Below are 15,778 nucleotides of genomic sequence, written 5' to 3'. Positions count from 1 at the left end.
TATTAGTTTAATTATCCCAACAAATCTATGAGAAAGATATTACTGCCATTTTACAGGTGAAGATATTGAGACCCAAGGAGGTTAAGTAACTTGCCAAGGTTACATATCTGTTAAGTAAGGGAGGCAACTTTCAAACTCAAGTCTTTTCAGATGACTTCCCTGTATAAAATAAAAGCACATTAACAAAAAGCAAACATTATCATTAAAAATTCTGGCCAGGCGCAGTGGCTCACGCCTGTAATCCCAGCACTTTGCGAGGCTGAGCCAGGCAGATCACAAGGTCAGGAGTTCGAGACCAGCCTGACCAACATGGTGAAACCCCGTCTCTACTAAAAATACAAAAATTAGCTGGGGGTGGTGGCGCGTGCCTATAATCCCAGCTACTCAAGAGGCTGAGGCAGGAGAATCATTGAACCCAGGTGGCGGACATTGCAGTGAGCCAAGATCGTGTCATTGCACTCCAGCCTGGACAACAGAGCGAGACTCAGTCTAAAAAAAAAAAAAAAAAATTCTATGGAACATGCTTTCATAAAATATTTAGAGTTGCTTCTATCATAGGTGCATTCAAATGTATTCAATTTCTAAATTATACAAGGACTTTATTAATACACTGGATAATTAAGTGCTAGACCATGTACTCCAGACTATAAGCCTAGGACTTCAGAATAGTGGCACATTGCTGAGATTTAGAATGAGCTGGGGAAGTCCAGGCTCAGTGGCTCACACCTGTAATCCCAGCACTTTCGGCAGCCGAGGCAGGCAGATCACTTGAGGTCAGGAGTTCAAGACCAGCCTGGCCAACATGGTAAAACCCCGTCTCTACTAAAAATATAAAAATTAGCCAGGCATGGTGGTTGGCACCTGTAATCCCAGCTATTCAGGGGGCTGAGGCAAGAGATTCACTTTAACCTAGGAGGCAGAGGTTGCAGTGAGCCGAGATCACGCCACTGCACTCCAGCCTGGGTAACAGAGCAAGACTTCATCTCAAATAAATAAATAAATGAATAAATAAATATTTTAAAATAAAATAAAGAGGCCAGGCGCAGTAGCTCACACCTGTGATCCCAGTACTTTGGGAGGCCGAGGCAGGCGGATCATGAGGTCAGGAGATCGAGACCAGCCTGGCTAACACGGTGAAACCCCGTCTCTATTAAAAATACAAAAAAATTAGCCGGGCGTGGTGGTGGGCGCCTGTAATCCCAGCTACTCGGGAGGCTGAGGCAGGAGAATGGCGTGAACCCGGGAAGCGGAGCTTGCAGTGAGCCGAGATGGCGCCACTGCACTCGGGCCTGGGCAGCAGAGCGAGACTCTGTCTCAAAAAAAAAATGAATAAATAAAATAAAATAAAATAAAGAATGAGATGGGGAAGCTTATGCAGGGCTTGGATGGGCCTTGATGACCAGTACAGAGGACAGTGCATTCCAGACACTGGAATCACAGGAGCAAAGCTGAAGACAAAATGGGCACATTAGTGAGACAATACTGAGACACTGAGACCCAAATGACTAAAGCAGAAGGTGTATTAGAAAGAAGCTTTCTGGTTCTCCCAGGTACAGGAGAAGGGAGAGATTGGAGACCTCAGGGTCATTTTACCCCCATTTAAGTGGCCATGGTAGCTGTGACCTACCCCCACTTTTCTAGGAAAAAATATATTCCAGCATTCCCAAGATCTTCTATCTTCATTGTAATCATTTTGTCACCTTGAATATCAAAAGACATATTATTTTCCTAATGCTAGTCCGGGGCTGTACCAATTGACAGACACAATCTTTGCTTCATTCAAGTTTCCAGTCTAATAGGATACAAACAGACAATTCAGAGAACAAAATGGGGCAAACTTAGCCCAAAATAAGAGCATCATGATTCCCTTAAGATGTCAAAGTGCTTACAGCTGTACCATGTAGGAGGCCATAACAAATGCTACATTTAAGAGGACACTAGGCATGGGTGGGGTGGTCCCAGGCTTGATAAGGTTACTTAAGCCCCCAAATCCTTGTGGTCAACCCGAACAGTCACCTGGAAAAGGGCTGATGAACAGGATACCTTTCCTCCAAAGGAATCCTGCCTCTCCTATATGCCCCGAAATGAGCATTGAGTGGGAAGCTAACCAGAGGGAAAAATAGGAGCTGCTGTTAGGGTCAGACAGGATCCAGCAGCCTGCAGCCTGGACCCAAGCGTGCGGAAAAGGCCATTGTCTGAGTGGCTTTCTGGATTTCCTGCCCTCAAACACCTACCCCGCCCAACATGCACACTCAATCTCTTGCCTCCTGCTCTGCCATCACTGTGATTAGCAGGCACTGCCCACCAAGAGGACAACAGACCACTGAGGTTCTCCTAAAGTGAGAAGGGAAATCACCCAGACCCATCCCCAGTGGGGAAAGGCAAAAAGATGACACAGAACAGGGCTTTAAGATTACTAGAGAAAAGTGTTTCCAGATCTTAATGAAGATCCAGGATCCTCCTTATCTCTCAACCCGCACTCATTTCTCCTAGGTCTACTCATCCAGGAGACGTAGAGTTTTCTGGCACAAGTGAGCAACAGCTGGATGGGGGTGGGGGGTGTGTCTATGTAGGTGTCTGTGCCTCCAGGCACGTCCCAGTGGTTTTTATGTGTGGGAGAGGAGAATTCAGCAAACAGGGTGTGGTTGTGGGTGTGTCTCACGTGGGATGAGGTATCTACAGAGCAGTTCTGTTGAGATCCTTGGGCTCCCTGCTCTACCAGCCCTGGCATTGAGTCCATTTCATGACCCTGATGAGACCAGATTCCCAGCTGATGACGCCCATTCCCAATCACCAGCTTCCAGCTCTTTGGCCCCTCCCCCATCCACACGCTTACTCCTCTGGCAGGCTAGCTGGGCTTTTGGCTGGGAACTGAGCTCAAAGCGGAAACAGGCAGTTGGAAGGTGTGATTTATGTCTCTGACTTCACCCCAGGCTGGAGCCCAAACACTTGGACCCTCTCCGCAAGTACCCGTCTGGCAAATTATCTCCTCCCCCTCAAAATCTCAGGCTCTTCTAGCTGGTCAGAGGTCTTCCAGGCAAGCCCATCCTCACTACCATCCCCCCTCTCCACTAACACTACCACTCACACCTCTAACTCCTGCTGATTACAGTGATAGAAGAATTAACTTCACTATTACCCACAGGAGGCAGGATTCTCCTATCAGCCCCAAACAATAGATAAATCCCTCCATATATCTAATTTCCTTCTCTCCTGCTGCTGACCAGCAGTTGGTAGAAACAAAGGGGAGCTAACTCACTCAGAATTCTGCCTCTGGCCTGTCAAGGTCTCTTTGCAGATTTAAGGTAATCCTCAATCCTGTGATTGTTTCTATCTCTAGAGACTTCTTAGAAACATTCTCAAAGACACCAGAGTGCCATTTTCTTGCTCCTGATCAGTAACTTGATGCATATCTTTATCTGCCATTCATCAAGATCTGGAAAGCACACTCCACCCCCCACAATCTGGAAGCCTAGAGTCAGAAAAGATCTTGCTAGGAAGTGAGAATCCTCTAACTCCTTGCAGGGGCTCCCACCATTACCACTTAGAAAATTCTACTAGAAATCTAGTTTCATCTTTTCCCACTTTCAAAGATTCCTCATCAGTCAAATGCCCTTGTTAACTTTAGAGGGCAGTTGAGGAGGATTAAATGAAGAAATCAATTTGAAAGATATAAAATGCTGCTTCATAGTATTATTTTGAGGTTAAATGAGGTCGCATATGTAAAATGCTTAGATCTATACCTGGTACTTGATAACTATTAGCTGTTTTTTCCTGTAATACCTCAAAAATTGGGGAGGGACCTGGGAGTTTGCCCTTCCTAGACATCCAGAGCCCATGGGCTCATTATAACCTTGTTGAATGGGAAGCTCAGATTCCTAGGTTTTAGTTTCTTTTTTTTTCTTCTTCTTCTTTTTTTTTTTTGAGACGGAGTCTCGCTCTGTCACCCAGGCTGGAATGCAGTGGTGCAATCTCGGCTCACTGCAACCTGTGCCTCCTGGGTTCAAGTGATTCTCTGCCTCAGGCTCCCGAGTAGCTGGGATTACAGGCGCGCGCCACCACACCCAGCTGATTTTTGTATTTTTAGTAGAGACGGGGTTTCACCATGTTGGCCAGGCTGGTCTTGTACTCCTGACCTCGTGATCCACCCGCCTCAGCCTCCCAAAGTGCTGGGATTACAGGTGTGAACCACCGCGCCCGGCCCCTAGGTTTTAGTTTCTGAAGGTACATGGTTGCATGAATGAATGAGTCCATGCTCCATTCAGTTTTCTGGGGTCTGGTCTCTCCTTTCCTGGCTTCCTTCCCATCACCCCCTACAGAGCCTTTCCCCTAGATCACTGAGCTCATCCTGGTTACCAATTATTTGTTTATTCCTGGCCCCCACACAAGGACTCCAGCCGCAACCCTGGTTTTCCCCTGAGTTCCTGTATGAGAATCTGAATGTGTTGGGGTAAGATGGAACCTCAAGGATCACCTAGCCCAATTCCTTTGATTTAGGAAAGACAAAATTGGGAGCCAAAGAAGGGCAGACTTGCTCTAGTTGGAACTTCCAAGTCAAGTACCTGGATCCAGCCCAGGGAGTCCCTGTGTGCTTTCAAGGGTAAAAGAATTCTCATCCCCTTCTTCCTTTCTCTCTCTCAGTGAGTAGAATAAATCACTATTTTTAACTGCCTAAAACATGAGCAAAAGCTGGAGAAACGCTCAAGGAAGTCCTTCTACATACAGGCTTACTGGCTTCTTCCATATTTTCCTGGGTCTTCTCTAATTCTTATTTCTGCCCCTTCTTGCATTCCTCCCTTCCTCCACCTCCAGTCACACTTAGATGGCTTCTATGCTAACCTGTATGTCACTTGCATATCATTCAACAATAGATCAATAGATTTGGGGTTTTTTTGTTTTTTGTTTTGTTTTTTTGAGACAGAGTCTTACTCTTTCGCCCAGGCTAGAGTGCAGTGGCATGATCTTGGCTCACGGCAACCTCTCCCTCCCAGGTTCAAGCAATTCTTGTGCCTCAGCCTCCTTAAGCGGCTGGGATTACAGGCATGTGCCACCATGCCCAGCTAATTTTTTGTATTTTAGTAGAGACGAGGTTTCACCATGTCGCCCAGGCTGGTCTCAAACTCCTGATATCAGGCAATCCGCCCGCCTTGGCCTCCAAAAGTGCTGGGATTACAGGCGTGAGCCACCACGCCCTGCCTAGATTTGTTTTTAAAAAATGAATTTGTTGCTGAGTGCAGTGGCTCATTCCTGTAATCCCAACACTTTAGGAGGCCAAGGCAGGAGGATCACTTGAGCCGAGGAGTTCGAGACCAGCCTGGGCAAACATAGTGAGACCCCGTTCCTACAAACAATTAGTTTAAAAAGAAAAAGAAGAATGGGTCAATGGCTTTCTTTGAAAGTGTTTAGTCTGAATCCAACACCTAGGTCCAAAGTGGGGTACACTTGACCAGCAGCTTCTGTGAGCATGACCACCCCATATAAAGGCATTCCTTTTGCCTTTGCCAGTGAGGCTCAAGCATTCCAAAGATAAACGTAGTGGGCTGGTCTTTCCTAAAGTAAAGCTAGATTGCTTGGGTTTGAATCCCAGCTCTTCTGCTTACCTTGGGCAAGTCTGTGCCTCAGTTTCCTCATCTTATAAAATAGGTCAATAGTACCTCCCTGATAAAGGGGCAGTGCCAATTAAATAAGTTAATTCATATAAAGCTCTTAGAACACATACTATATAGCATAAAGCATAAGCTATTATTATTATAGGAGAGACAATAACTCCAGGAAGCCGTGCCTCCACCTCCACCCCCCATACATACCTGAGTCATGTGGCACGGTTCCTCTCTCTTCCTGGGATCTCATTACCCTTCTCCAAACCAGCCCATCTGGCCCCTGTGCAGTCTTACCCTTATCCAACCCCCAGCTCTACCCCTGGGGCCCAAACCTGGGTGTAGGGGAGGGAAGAAAGGCAAAACGTGGCCATTTTAGGGCAGAAGAACTGTTAGAGGGGAGAAGGGGTGGGGGCAACAGGGAAGTGGACCCAGAGTTGGGAAGCTCCTTATTGGGAAAGGCCCCTGTCTGATTCTGGGAGACAGAGGCCAGGCCTGGGCACTCAGCCAAGTCCAAAGAGCAGGCCCCAGGCCCTAGTCCTGGCCCCCAAAGCCAGCACCAGTGAAGAGACTAAATGTTCAGTTGCTTTGGGCTCTTCTCCAGACAGTCACAGGACACTTCCCCTACCCCAACCTCACCTATTCTGACAAAATACCCATGGTGATTAAAGTAGCTAGAACCAGGAGTACAACGTCTCTGTGTATATATGTGTGTGTTGGGAGGAGGGAGAGACTCATGCTTCCGGGCCATAATAAGGTCAAACCACTGTTCCAAAAGTGGCTGTCTCCAGGACACTGCCCACCACCCACAACCCCCACTACCTCCCCCCAAGTCCAACGGCTGGCTGTGAACTCCTCCTACAGGAACCCAGCCAGTTCTGGGGAGACTGCTGGTGAGGGGGGGCCCAAGGGTGAGTAACGGTTCCCGTGGGGATCGGGGTGCCCATGACTAATCAATGAGAGGGTGAGAAATAAAACTTACATTCCTTGACTTGTAGGGCAGTAGCTGGAGGTGGGAGGTGGGGCAGGGGCAGACTGAAGCAAGGACAGCCAAGTAGGGACGCAGAGCGGGAAGCGAGGCTGAGGTGGGGGTAGGGAGTCCTTCCAGCCCTGCTCTCTCCATATCTCAGGCTGAAGGAGAGGCAGGCCCCAGGTAACCAAACACCTGGGTTTCTGCTTCCCATCCCCTGGCAAATAAGCTTCTCCTCCAGTTCATTCAATCCAGGGCTACAGACTTTGAATGGGCTGAGGGAAGGGCACACTGACATCTCATTTGCATTCCTCAGCCCCTGCCCCACTCATCTAGGAGTCCCTATGCCCAGAAGACCCGGCTTGGAAAAACTCCGCTGTGCAAGGCTGAGAGCCAGACTAAAGGCATAAAAGCGGAAATGAGCTGGGAGCCAAGATGCTGAGAGAAGGAAGGAAGCCAGTCTGCTGCCACAAAGGAGTCAGGAAAGAGAGGGAACAAACAGCCAAGTGCTTCCTGCCCATACCCTTCCCTGCCTCTCCACCAACCTCCTCCAGCCTGTCCAGACATCTCAGGCCCAGGGCAGAGTAGGGAAAGGAGTGCAGAGACCCACACGAAACGCCCTCTAAAGCTTCCAGCTCAGCAGCCTTCATGGCAGAGGCCGGGGCTATTCTCACAGCAGCCCCTGCATCAATAGCTAGATGATCACTCCCATGTTAGCCAGTTCCAGAAGCTCCCTTACCCCAATTTCCTCCACCAAAGTGACCCGTTCCTCTCTGTTTCAAGCTTGCTTTCTCTGGCCCTCCAGTATCTGCAGTTGAAAGAGAACACCATGAGTTTGGGAAGGGATGTGGTAGTGGGGAGGGTTGGGAGAGTTGTAAGAACAGGCAGCCCTCTTCCCCAAACTGCTATCTCACCTCCCACTGCACTGGCAAGAGAGCAGGGGCAATCACACCTCACACACACACACACACACACACACACACACACACCCCCAACTTTAGCCTATTGACAGATCAGGATACAGATACCCCACCCATGCAAATACACCAACACAAGCATGTTCAGGTTTTCAGACCATACACACACAGAGAGGGAGATTTTCACCTCACAGGCACATTCACATCACACAGGATCTTTTCCCAGCCTGGCCAGCACAAATGGTGAACATGGGAAAGATGTAGAAACCTGGGTCAACTTGGGCCCAAAATATATTCCAGCTTTGGCCCTTCTCCAGGTCTGTTTCTCCATTCCTTGCTACTCCCCCAGGGCTTTCCCATGCAAAACACAGGAGAAGGCGGAGAGGAGGCACCTGAGGGTGCTCTGTTCCTAAGCTGTGATACTCAGTCAACTCTGTCTGGGTTTCTGGAACCCAGCCCCCCTCCCTGAGGTGATCACATGGAAAATGTCCAGCTGCGGTTGCTTGGAGAGATGAGCTCAGCCAGTCTGAGTGGGGCTGGGGGCCTGGACTCAGCGTCAGACTTTCCACTTCGGACCTTACCCCTCCTCCCACCTCCAAATACCACTCCAGGGATTCAGGAGCAGGAAAGGGGCCAAAGGGACTTCTGACACAAATGTCGCAGTCTTGGACTGGTTCAGAGGGGAAGGGTGGACACTGATGAAGGGCGGAACAGATCTGGAAGCACCTCTAGTCTGCTTCATTCCTGCCCACCCACTTCAGGGAAATAAATCCAAAGATGGACCAAAAAAGACAAGGGAGACTAGGTTGCAGTGTAATAAGTGGGGGGAAGATGACTTCAGAAATTGGTCCCCCGGGGTGGGAGTGGGAGGGCAGGGAACTCAAGAATAGATTCAACTCAATGACCCCAAAATGACAAAGGACATAGAAAGCTGGGTCCTAAATGGGAAGCTGGGGGTGGCAGAGGAAGGAGCAGACCAGTGTTACACTGCCTCTCATTGGCCAATGAAGAGTTCCTGACCTGGCAGGAGGAAAGGATTAGTCTCTCCATCCAGTCTTCCAAAGTATATTTCCCACTCTCCATGACTCTGCACCCCTGCCCTCCCTCTCCTCACGTTCCTTTCCCTCTGTCCCCCATCTCTATTATGCGCTTCCCCTTTCCTTTCTCCTTTCCTCTCTCCTACCATCTTTCTAGGATCCTCCTTCCTGGTTCCTCCACCCCCTTCTCCTTCACCAATCCCTTGCCCCTCTGTCTTTTCCTCTCGCGGAACCCTCTCTGTCTACCTCTTTGCTCTTATTTATGTCTCCAACCTCACCCATTTCCCCCTCCTTCTCCCTCCTTTTTCTCCCCAGCATAGCCCACAGAGCTTTATACATAGTAAGCACTCAAAAATATATACTACTTAGATCAATGGCACTTATTAGTTAATGTCCCTTGCACAATTCTAGGAATCTTAGAGCAGACAGATCTTTAGTAGTTAAAATGTTGGAGCCATGAAAGGTTTTGATCTGAGAAGTAACATCATCAGAGCCTTGGTTTAGGAAGATTAATTTGCCTGCAAAGAGTAGGGTGGATTTCAGGGGAAAATGAGACCCTTTTTTCATTTTCTCTCTTTCTTTCTTCAACTGTTTCTTTCTCTCTGACTTCTTCACCATCTGACAGGCTTCCCCACCTGGCCATAACTTCTTCTCTCCCTTCCATGAGTCTTCCCTCTTTCCTTGAGTTTTCCTTCCCTTTACCCCTATCCTGCCCTTCCTCCTCTCAACAACCCCCCTTCCTAGAACATCTGTAAGCAATTGGCTTGTAGAGAGGGGTAGGGTTGAGATTTCCCAGCCAGCTGTGGGGGTGTGGCCAGCCCTGGCCGACTGGATGGAAGAGTGTGGCCTGAAGGGAGGGCCACTCTCCCTAGAGGTGAAAGCTTGGAGTGCCATCCCACCGTTCCTGTTCCTAGGCACCCAGCCCTTTAATCAAACCCCAAACTTCTCTTCTTCCCAGGTCAATCTCATCACACACCCCTTTTCTATCTCAGAGACCTGGAAGCCCTAGCCCTACCTCCCAGTTCCACAATTCTGTCATCTGGAACCCTCTAGCCACATGTAGATTAGAGACTGGAAGAGGGTACCCAACCTCCCAACTGCTGGACATCTGTTGAAAGGAATATAAACTGAAGGGTCAGAAAGCTCCTCCTCTTGGCTTCTCCCTTAGGGCTTTGAAGTCCAATCAAGGACTGAGGCCAGAGGTCGGGGGTGTGGGTATTCAAAGGACAGAATGCAATTCAACCTTTACTGCAGGTAAGGTAGGAAGTCCAATATATTTTTGTACATTAGACCCAGAAGTAATCACTTGTGAATTGTGAATGTATAAACTGTATACAACATTACTTTCTTTTATACTATTATCTCAATTTAGTAAGCCTCAACCTTGGAGTCCAGGGGTTAAGAATCTTCTAAGGCTTTGTTCCTCCTCAAGTTATAGCTCTGGAAGAAAAGGAGGGGGCTCTGCTTCCCAGGAGTGCTCCATATTACTGGGCTCATAAATCTCAGCCCCAGAGACTCTCCATTTTACTTTTATGCACTGGCTGCTGGGGACACTTGGAACCTTTGCAGGAATTTCTGTAAACCCCACTTATCCCCTAGTTCAGCACCCCAACAGGTTAGCTCTCCCTGAAGAGAAAGGCAAGGGGATGGACCTATTCTTAGCCCTGTACATGATCTCTGGAAAACAAATGTGCTCATTGTGAGGTGATGATGGACAGGGAGGAATTTGCAGCCAAGGAAGGAGTGTATGTGTTTGGAGGTAGAGAGATGAGGAGCGCCAGAGGTCCAGAGAGCTCATGAGGAAGACTTATGAAAAGCAAGGAGAGGGACATGCTGTGCCCCATCCCCAACTTTGTGCCATTGTGTTAAGGACTAATGGCACACTATGCTCTACACATACACACACACACCCTGATTCCTACCTGATCAGAGATGCTGTTATCTCTATAAAGCCAGAAAGAGCTGAAGCTAGTAACATAGCATGTCTGGGTTTGGAGTGCAATCGGTGGCCCTCCTGCCTTCCTCCCCAACCTCTTTCCAATGCCCTTTCTGTCTGGGATTGATAATCCTTCCCAAGAGAGGGCTGGAAATGGCAGGCAGACTTGTGGAGGTGGGAGGGAACGCCTGGCTCATCCTCAACCCCTCATAGCCCCAATCGGATGTGCACTGGGAATCCTGGTGCTCCAGGTCCCTTCCTGATGGGCTCCAGATGTGCTTACATCTGGGAAGGCCATCCCAAGAAGCTGACACTCCCACCCACAGCTCCCACCCCGGATGGTTCTCTCCTCTGACTGCCAGGCCTTTGAGCTGAGAAGATTCAGGCACCCCTTTCCTCTCCAGAGGTAGGTACAAGGCAGCAAAGGGGAGAGAAAGGAAAGTCATGGGGGTGGCATGAGTAAGCAAATAAAATGAGGTCAATGCTTAGGACACCCCAGAGGATCTTATTTTCCTTTTAACTTCCTATCTGGGGTTGTTACATTTTGCCATAGCATTCTGGTGCCTCTAAATATGCCATAAATAAATAAATAAATAAATAAATAAGAAAAACTGAAGAACTTTTGGAAGAGAAGACATTAGCAAGAGTGGGGGAAATTCCTTCCCATTGATCTGCTTAATCTGGATTCCTGGGTCTTATATCTTGTATCCCAGTGTCCTCTTAGCTCTGCTCCTTTCCTGTCAGTGCCCATCCCCTAGTCCCTGTCTCCATGTGCCTCTCCAACCTAGTCTCGCCTGGAAAAACTCCCAGTTTGGTCTCCACAGAGGTATCTAGTCACAGGTTTTTTTTGTTTGTTTGTTTGTTTTGAGTCTGAGTCTCTCTCTGTCGCCCAGGCTGGAGTGCAATGATGCTATCTCGGCTCACTGCCACCTCCACCTCCCGGGTTCAAACGATTCTCCTGCCTCAAACTCCTGAGTAGCTGGGATTACAGGCTCCCGCCACCATGCCCAGCTAATTTTTTGTATTTTTAGTAGAGACGGGGTTTCACCATGTTAACCAGGCTGGTCTCAAACTCCTGACCTCAGGTGATCCACCCGCCTCAGCCTCCCAAAGTGCTGAGATTACAGGCGTGAGCCACGACATCTGGCTCTAGTCACAGTCTTAATCACTGGGTTCGGAGTCCTGGAGCAACAATAGAACCCACGAATCTTATTGCTAAGGTCTGCTTTTGTCACCCTAGTAAACATCTTCCATCCACCCCTCCTGTGCTCTGTGCAAACTGGGGATAGAAAAAGGAGAGGAGCCTGGGTTTATTTTAGGCATAGGACACAGGGGAGGGGTTTCTCCTGGGTCAGACAGCGGGTAGGGATGGTGGAGGTGACTCACAGATGATAGAGCCCTCAGTTCCTCTAGGCAGAGACCTGAGTCAGAGAAGCAACAGAGCCTGAGGGTGCAAATGGTCTACTCCTGTACTTTCCAATTTCCCTTTCTTAGACATACACGCACACACACACAGAACAACTCCCCAGCTTCAGCAGTCTCTGGATCCTGGTATAACTGGGCTCCTATTCTACTTCTGGAAATCCCCCCACCCCCGCCTTCAGCTTCATAATTTTCCTAAATATCCCACCTTCCTTCCCTCTGTGAGATCCAACTTCTTTGTTTGCTTGTTTGTTTTTGTCTTGTTTTGTTTTTGAGATGGAGTCTCGTTCTGTCACCCAGGCTGGAGTGCAATGGTGCAATCTCAGGTCACTGCAACCTCTGCCTCCCAAGGTTCAAGCAATTCTCCTGCCTCAGCCTCCCAAGTAGCTGGGATTACAGGCACCCACCACCACGCGTGGCTAATTTTTGTATTTTTACTAGAGACGGGGTTTCACCATGTTGGCCAAGCTAGTCTCAAACTTCTGACCTCGTGATCTACCCACCATGGCCTCCCAAAGTGCTGGGATTACAGGCATGAGCCACTGCACCCAGCCTAGGAAGTTTTATTTCATGGACACCTCAGCCTCTACCACCTCTACCCAATCAGACTTTTTACAGCCCAACAAGACCTGAGTCTGTTTCTTAAAACCAAGGCATCCAGCCTTAGTGTTCTCAGAATTTCCAGGCATTTGAGAATCTTAAAGAAGCCACTGAGTCTCACCCCAGAGAAATCACATGCATATAAACAAAAACTTCCATCCAGTTTCAGAGGATTAATGGATTGTATACCCAATCTTCCCCCACCCCACCCCAAGGACAATGGATCTAGGTTATAATTCCTACTCTAGAATCTTCCCCCATACCTCTGTAGAAACCCAGCCGGTTTACAGGGCTGACATTGCAGTGGGAAAAGCAACGGCTCTGAAATCTACTGGGATTGGGTTTGGATTTACCTCTGCCCCTTTCTGTTGGCCTTCGCTTAGTCACTTCTCTCCTTTAGGCTTCGATTTCCTAACAGTAAAATGAGGATCATGATACCTTCAGTGCTGGATAAGTTGGGATAAATGGGATAGAGGCAGATTAAAGGTCAAGCCCAGGGCCAGGAATACAGCATGTGCTAAATAAACCATTATCAGTACTCCCCACCCCTCTTCCACACTACTAAAATTCAGCATGACCCCTGGCGTTAGAACTTGCACCTGTATCCTGAACTCCTCTGTGGAAATTCACTCTTGTGGTTCTAAAACTCCAGCCTTCAGGGCAAGCAGGCTGGCGACAACAGGAGCCTGCTGAGTGTCCTGGCCTTGCCCTTCACCCTTCTTCCTCTCCATCAAGCAGACCATGATTAATAATGGTCAGTCATCACAGCAAATCATTCCTACTGAGCAATGAAGGGACAGAGGGTACCAAAGAGGTCAGGTTTAAGAGAAAAAGCAGAGGCACTTGGAGACACACAAACTTGGCCAGAGAAAGGCTGAGAGATATACAAGATAGAAAGAAAAAGCTGAGAGGAGATAGATCATTTAGAGGGGCAGTGGGCTTAGAGGAGAAGGCACTGGGTCTGGAGTCTAAACACTTAGGTTCTAGGCTCACCGCTAACTGGCTAGCCATATGACCCTGGACAAATCACTTCATCTCTCTACACCCATTTCCTCTTCTGAAGGAGAAGATTGGACTGATGGCTTCTATCCCCTCCTCACTGGCCTTTCTAGGTCAGCTTCCAGGCCTGGAGGTCTGTGCTGAAGTAGCTCTAATTAGGAGGGGACCCCAAGTTAAGGACGAACCCAGAGCAGAGGAAGAGAGGATCAGGCAAAGGCAGGCATGGTGAGAGGAAAGGCAGGAGGTGTTGGGGCCACTGGGAGAGGACTTATAAGGGCAGAAAGAGCCAAGAGAGGAGGGATATTGGGGAGAGTAGAAAGGCCAGCCAAAGAATGACTAAGGGGCTCCCGGTGTAAACAGGAGCAGGGAATGGACAGGGAGGGGGCCTGTTTGAGTTGGCCAAGGCTAGGGGTGGAGTGGGGAGGAGGACTGGGGCAGGACGCTATGTCCCCTGTCCCCCACCAAGGCTCCTGGGAGGAGCTGAGTCACACACCTCCTTCCCTGCACCCCTCCCCACCCCCACCCCTAATCTCCCAAATCCTGGGAAAATCTAAAGAGTTTGCCTAGACTGAGAAAGGAGAGTGTTTGGTTCACACACGTGTTTTGCTGGGCTAAAAAGCAATCAGGCCTCAGCCCTTCTCCTCCCAAAGGGGGTTCCCAGCCCATGGCTTGAGTAGCTCTCACCTAAAGGTTGCCTTTTTGGCAATGCTGGGCTTAAAGATCCTGACCCAGAGATTCCCTGGGTTCCTCACCTAAGAAAGGGTCAGGACTTGCAGATGTGAGAATGGGATACGGGCCAGCATTGCCCCACAGTCTGGCCAGCCAGCCTCTCCCTTGGGCTGCAGCTGGCTCTGGAGGGGGGCTTTTAAAAAAGCAGATGGGTGATTTGGGACAGGAAGTGGAGTAGCAGAGTGAGGGGGAGAGTCATGGCAGGAAAAAAACATTGACTCTGGGCACTCTTATTCTGAGCCTTTCAGCCCGAAGTGGGGCAGGGGACTGGAGAACAGAAGGGACAGGGTTGACAGGATATTATTGACAGGGTATTATTCTGGAAAGTGAGGAGTCCTGGAGGAAAGAGACTGAAAGGACTTGTAGTCCCCTCCCCCAGACTAAGATAAAGGCTAGAATCCTGAAAAGTGATCTCATCACACAGAGCCTGAGCTTGGGGAAGAGGTGGGCAGGGGGTCACTGCCTTCCCTTTCTAGAGTCCCTTCCTCTACTTCCACAGGGGAATCTGGGAAGAATGGGGTCCTGGCTTTCCGCTCCCATTGTTTTTTTGGTTTTTGGTTTTTGGATTTTTTTTTTTTTTTTTTTTTTGGATACAGTCTTGCTCTGTCACCCAGGCTAGAGTGCAGTGGTGCAATCGCGGCTCATTGCAGTCTCTGCCTCCTGGGTTCAAGTAATTATCCTGCCTCAGCTTCCCGAGTAGCTGGGATTACAGGTGCGGACCACCACATCTGGATAATTTTTGTATTTTTAGTGGAGATGGGTTTTGCCATGTTGGCCAGGCTGGTCTTGAACTCCTGGCCTCAGGTGATCTGCTCACCTCGGCATCCCAAAGTGCTGGGATTACAGGTGTGAGCCACCGTGCCTGGCCAGAGCTCCCAGCGTTTACAGCCATTAGGAGCTGAAGGTTGGGTCCCTTTGCAAGACTTTCCACCACCACCACCACCTCTCACAATTCTCCAGGTTTGTAGGAACCCGGCCAGTTTAATCAAGCAGGTACTGAGGGGCCAGCCACTCGCAGGCTTTTGGTCAACTGTCAGATCCAAGGAAGGGGCTCAGCAGAGGTTTACATACCCTAGGACCAAGAAGGGGGCAAACTGGAGCAGAATCCTCCTGATGAATGACCCCAAACTCCTGGGTTTTCAATACTAGCAAGCTTGGAGGAGGAAGCAGCGGAACTTGAGGAGCCCGTGTAGGTCCTCTAGCAAGCTGACTGCGAACGCTGTCTCTGTACCTCAACTGTTGTGTCCCAAATCCAGCTGGCCAGAACCCAGGCACCCGGCGGCCCCGGAAGGCAAGGGGGAATCCCAGTTGGCCGGACGCCAGAGGAGTCTCCTGTCTCTTTAGACCCCAAAGTCTCCTCCCTAAAGCACTGAGGGAGACCCCACACACATATACAGGCTTCCTCCGCCCACCAGAGGTGATTCCTTTCCTCATTAGGAAATTCTCCGCTCCCTTTTCCGACTCGTTTTCCGAGCGTTTACGTTGTACATCTGGAAAGGAATGGGGAGGAAGGAGGGGGAAGCAGAGAGGAGGGGGAAGAACCCAAACCCGCCCAGTCTAACCCAGTCCAG

At 49.2% G+C, this 15,778-nt stretch overlaps 1 long non-coding RNA gene across 3 annotated transcripts in view; it reads right to left on the bottom strand.

Moving 5' to 3' along the window:
* The window catches only part of GPR84-AS1 (GPR84, ZNF385A, ITGA5 and GTSF1 antisense RNA 1), a 113,340-nt gene that overhangs the window by 31,799 nt on the left and 65,763 nt on the right, over positions 1-15,778 (bottom strand). Inside the window, exons 1-2 of one of the 3 annotated variants that reach the window (NR_120488.1) lie at positions 15,279-15,447; positions 7,307-7,375 (exon numbers count right to left, since the gene is read on the bottom strand). The exons of 1 other annotated variant lie outside the window; for it this stretch is intronic. This is a non-coding gene — a long non-coding RNA (GPR84, ZNF385A, ITGA5 and GTSF1 antisense RNA 1). Of the gene's footprint in view, positions 1-7,306; positions 7,376-15,278; positions 15,448-15,778 lie in introns of those variants that run through there. One more of the 3 variants, NR_120487.1, reaches the window with a different exon arrangement.

This window comes from Homo sapiens, chromosome 12 (genome assembly GCF_000001405.40).
Source record: "Homo sapiens chromosome 12, GRCh38.p14 Primary Assembly".
NCBI classification, from domain to species: Eukaryota; Metazoa; Chordata; class Mammalia; order Primates; family Hominidae; genus Homo; species Homo sapiens.
The sequence above is the reverse complement of the archived record's forward strand: the minus strand, read 5'-3'. Positions and strand labels throughout refer to the sequence as shown.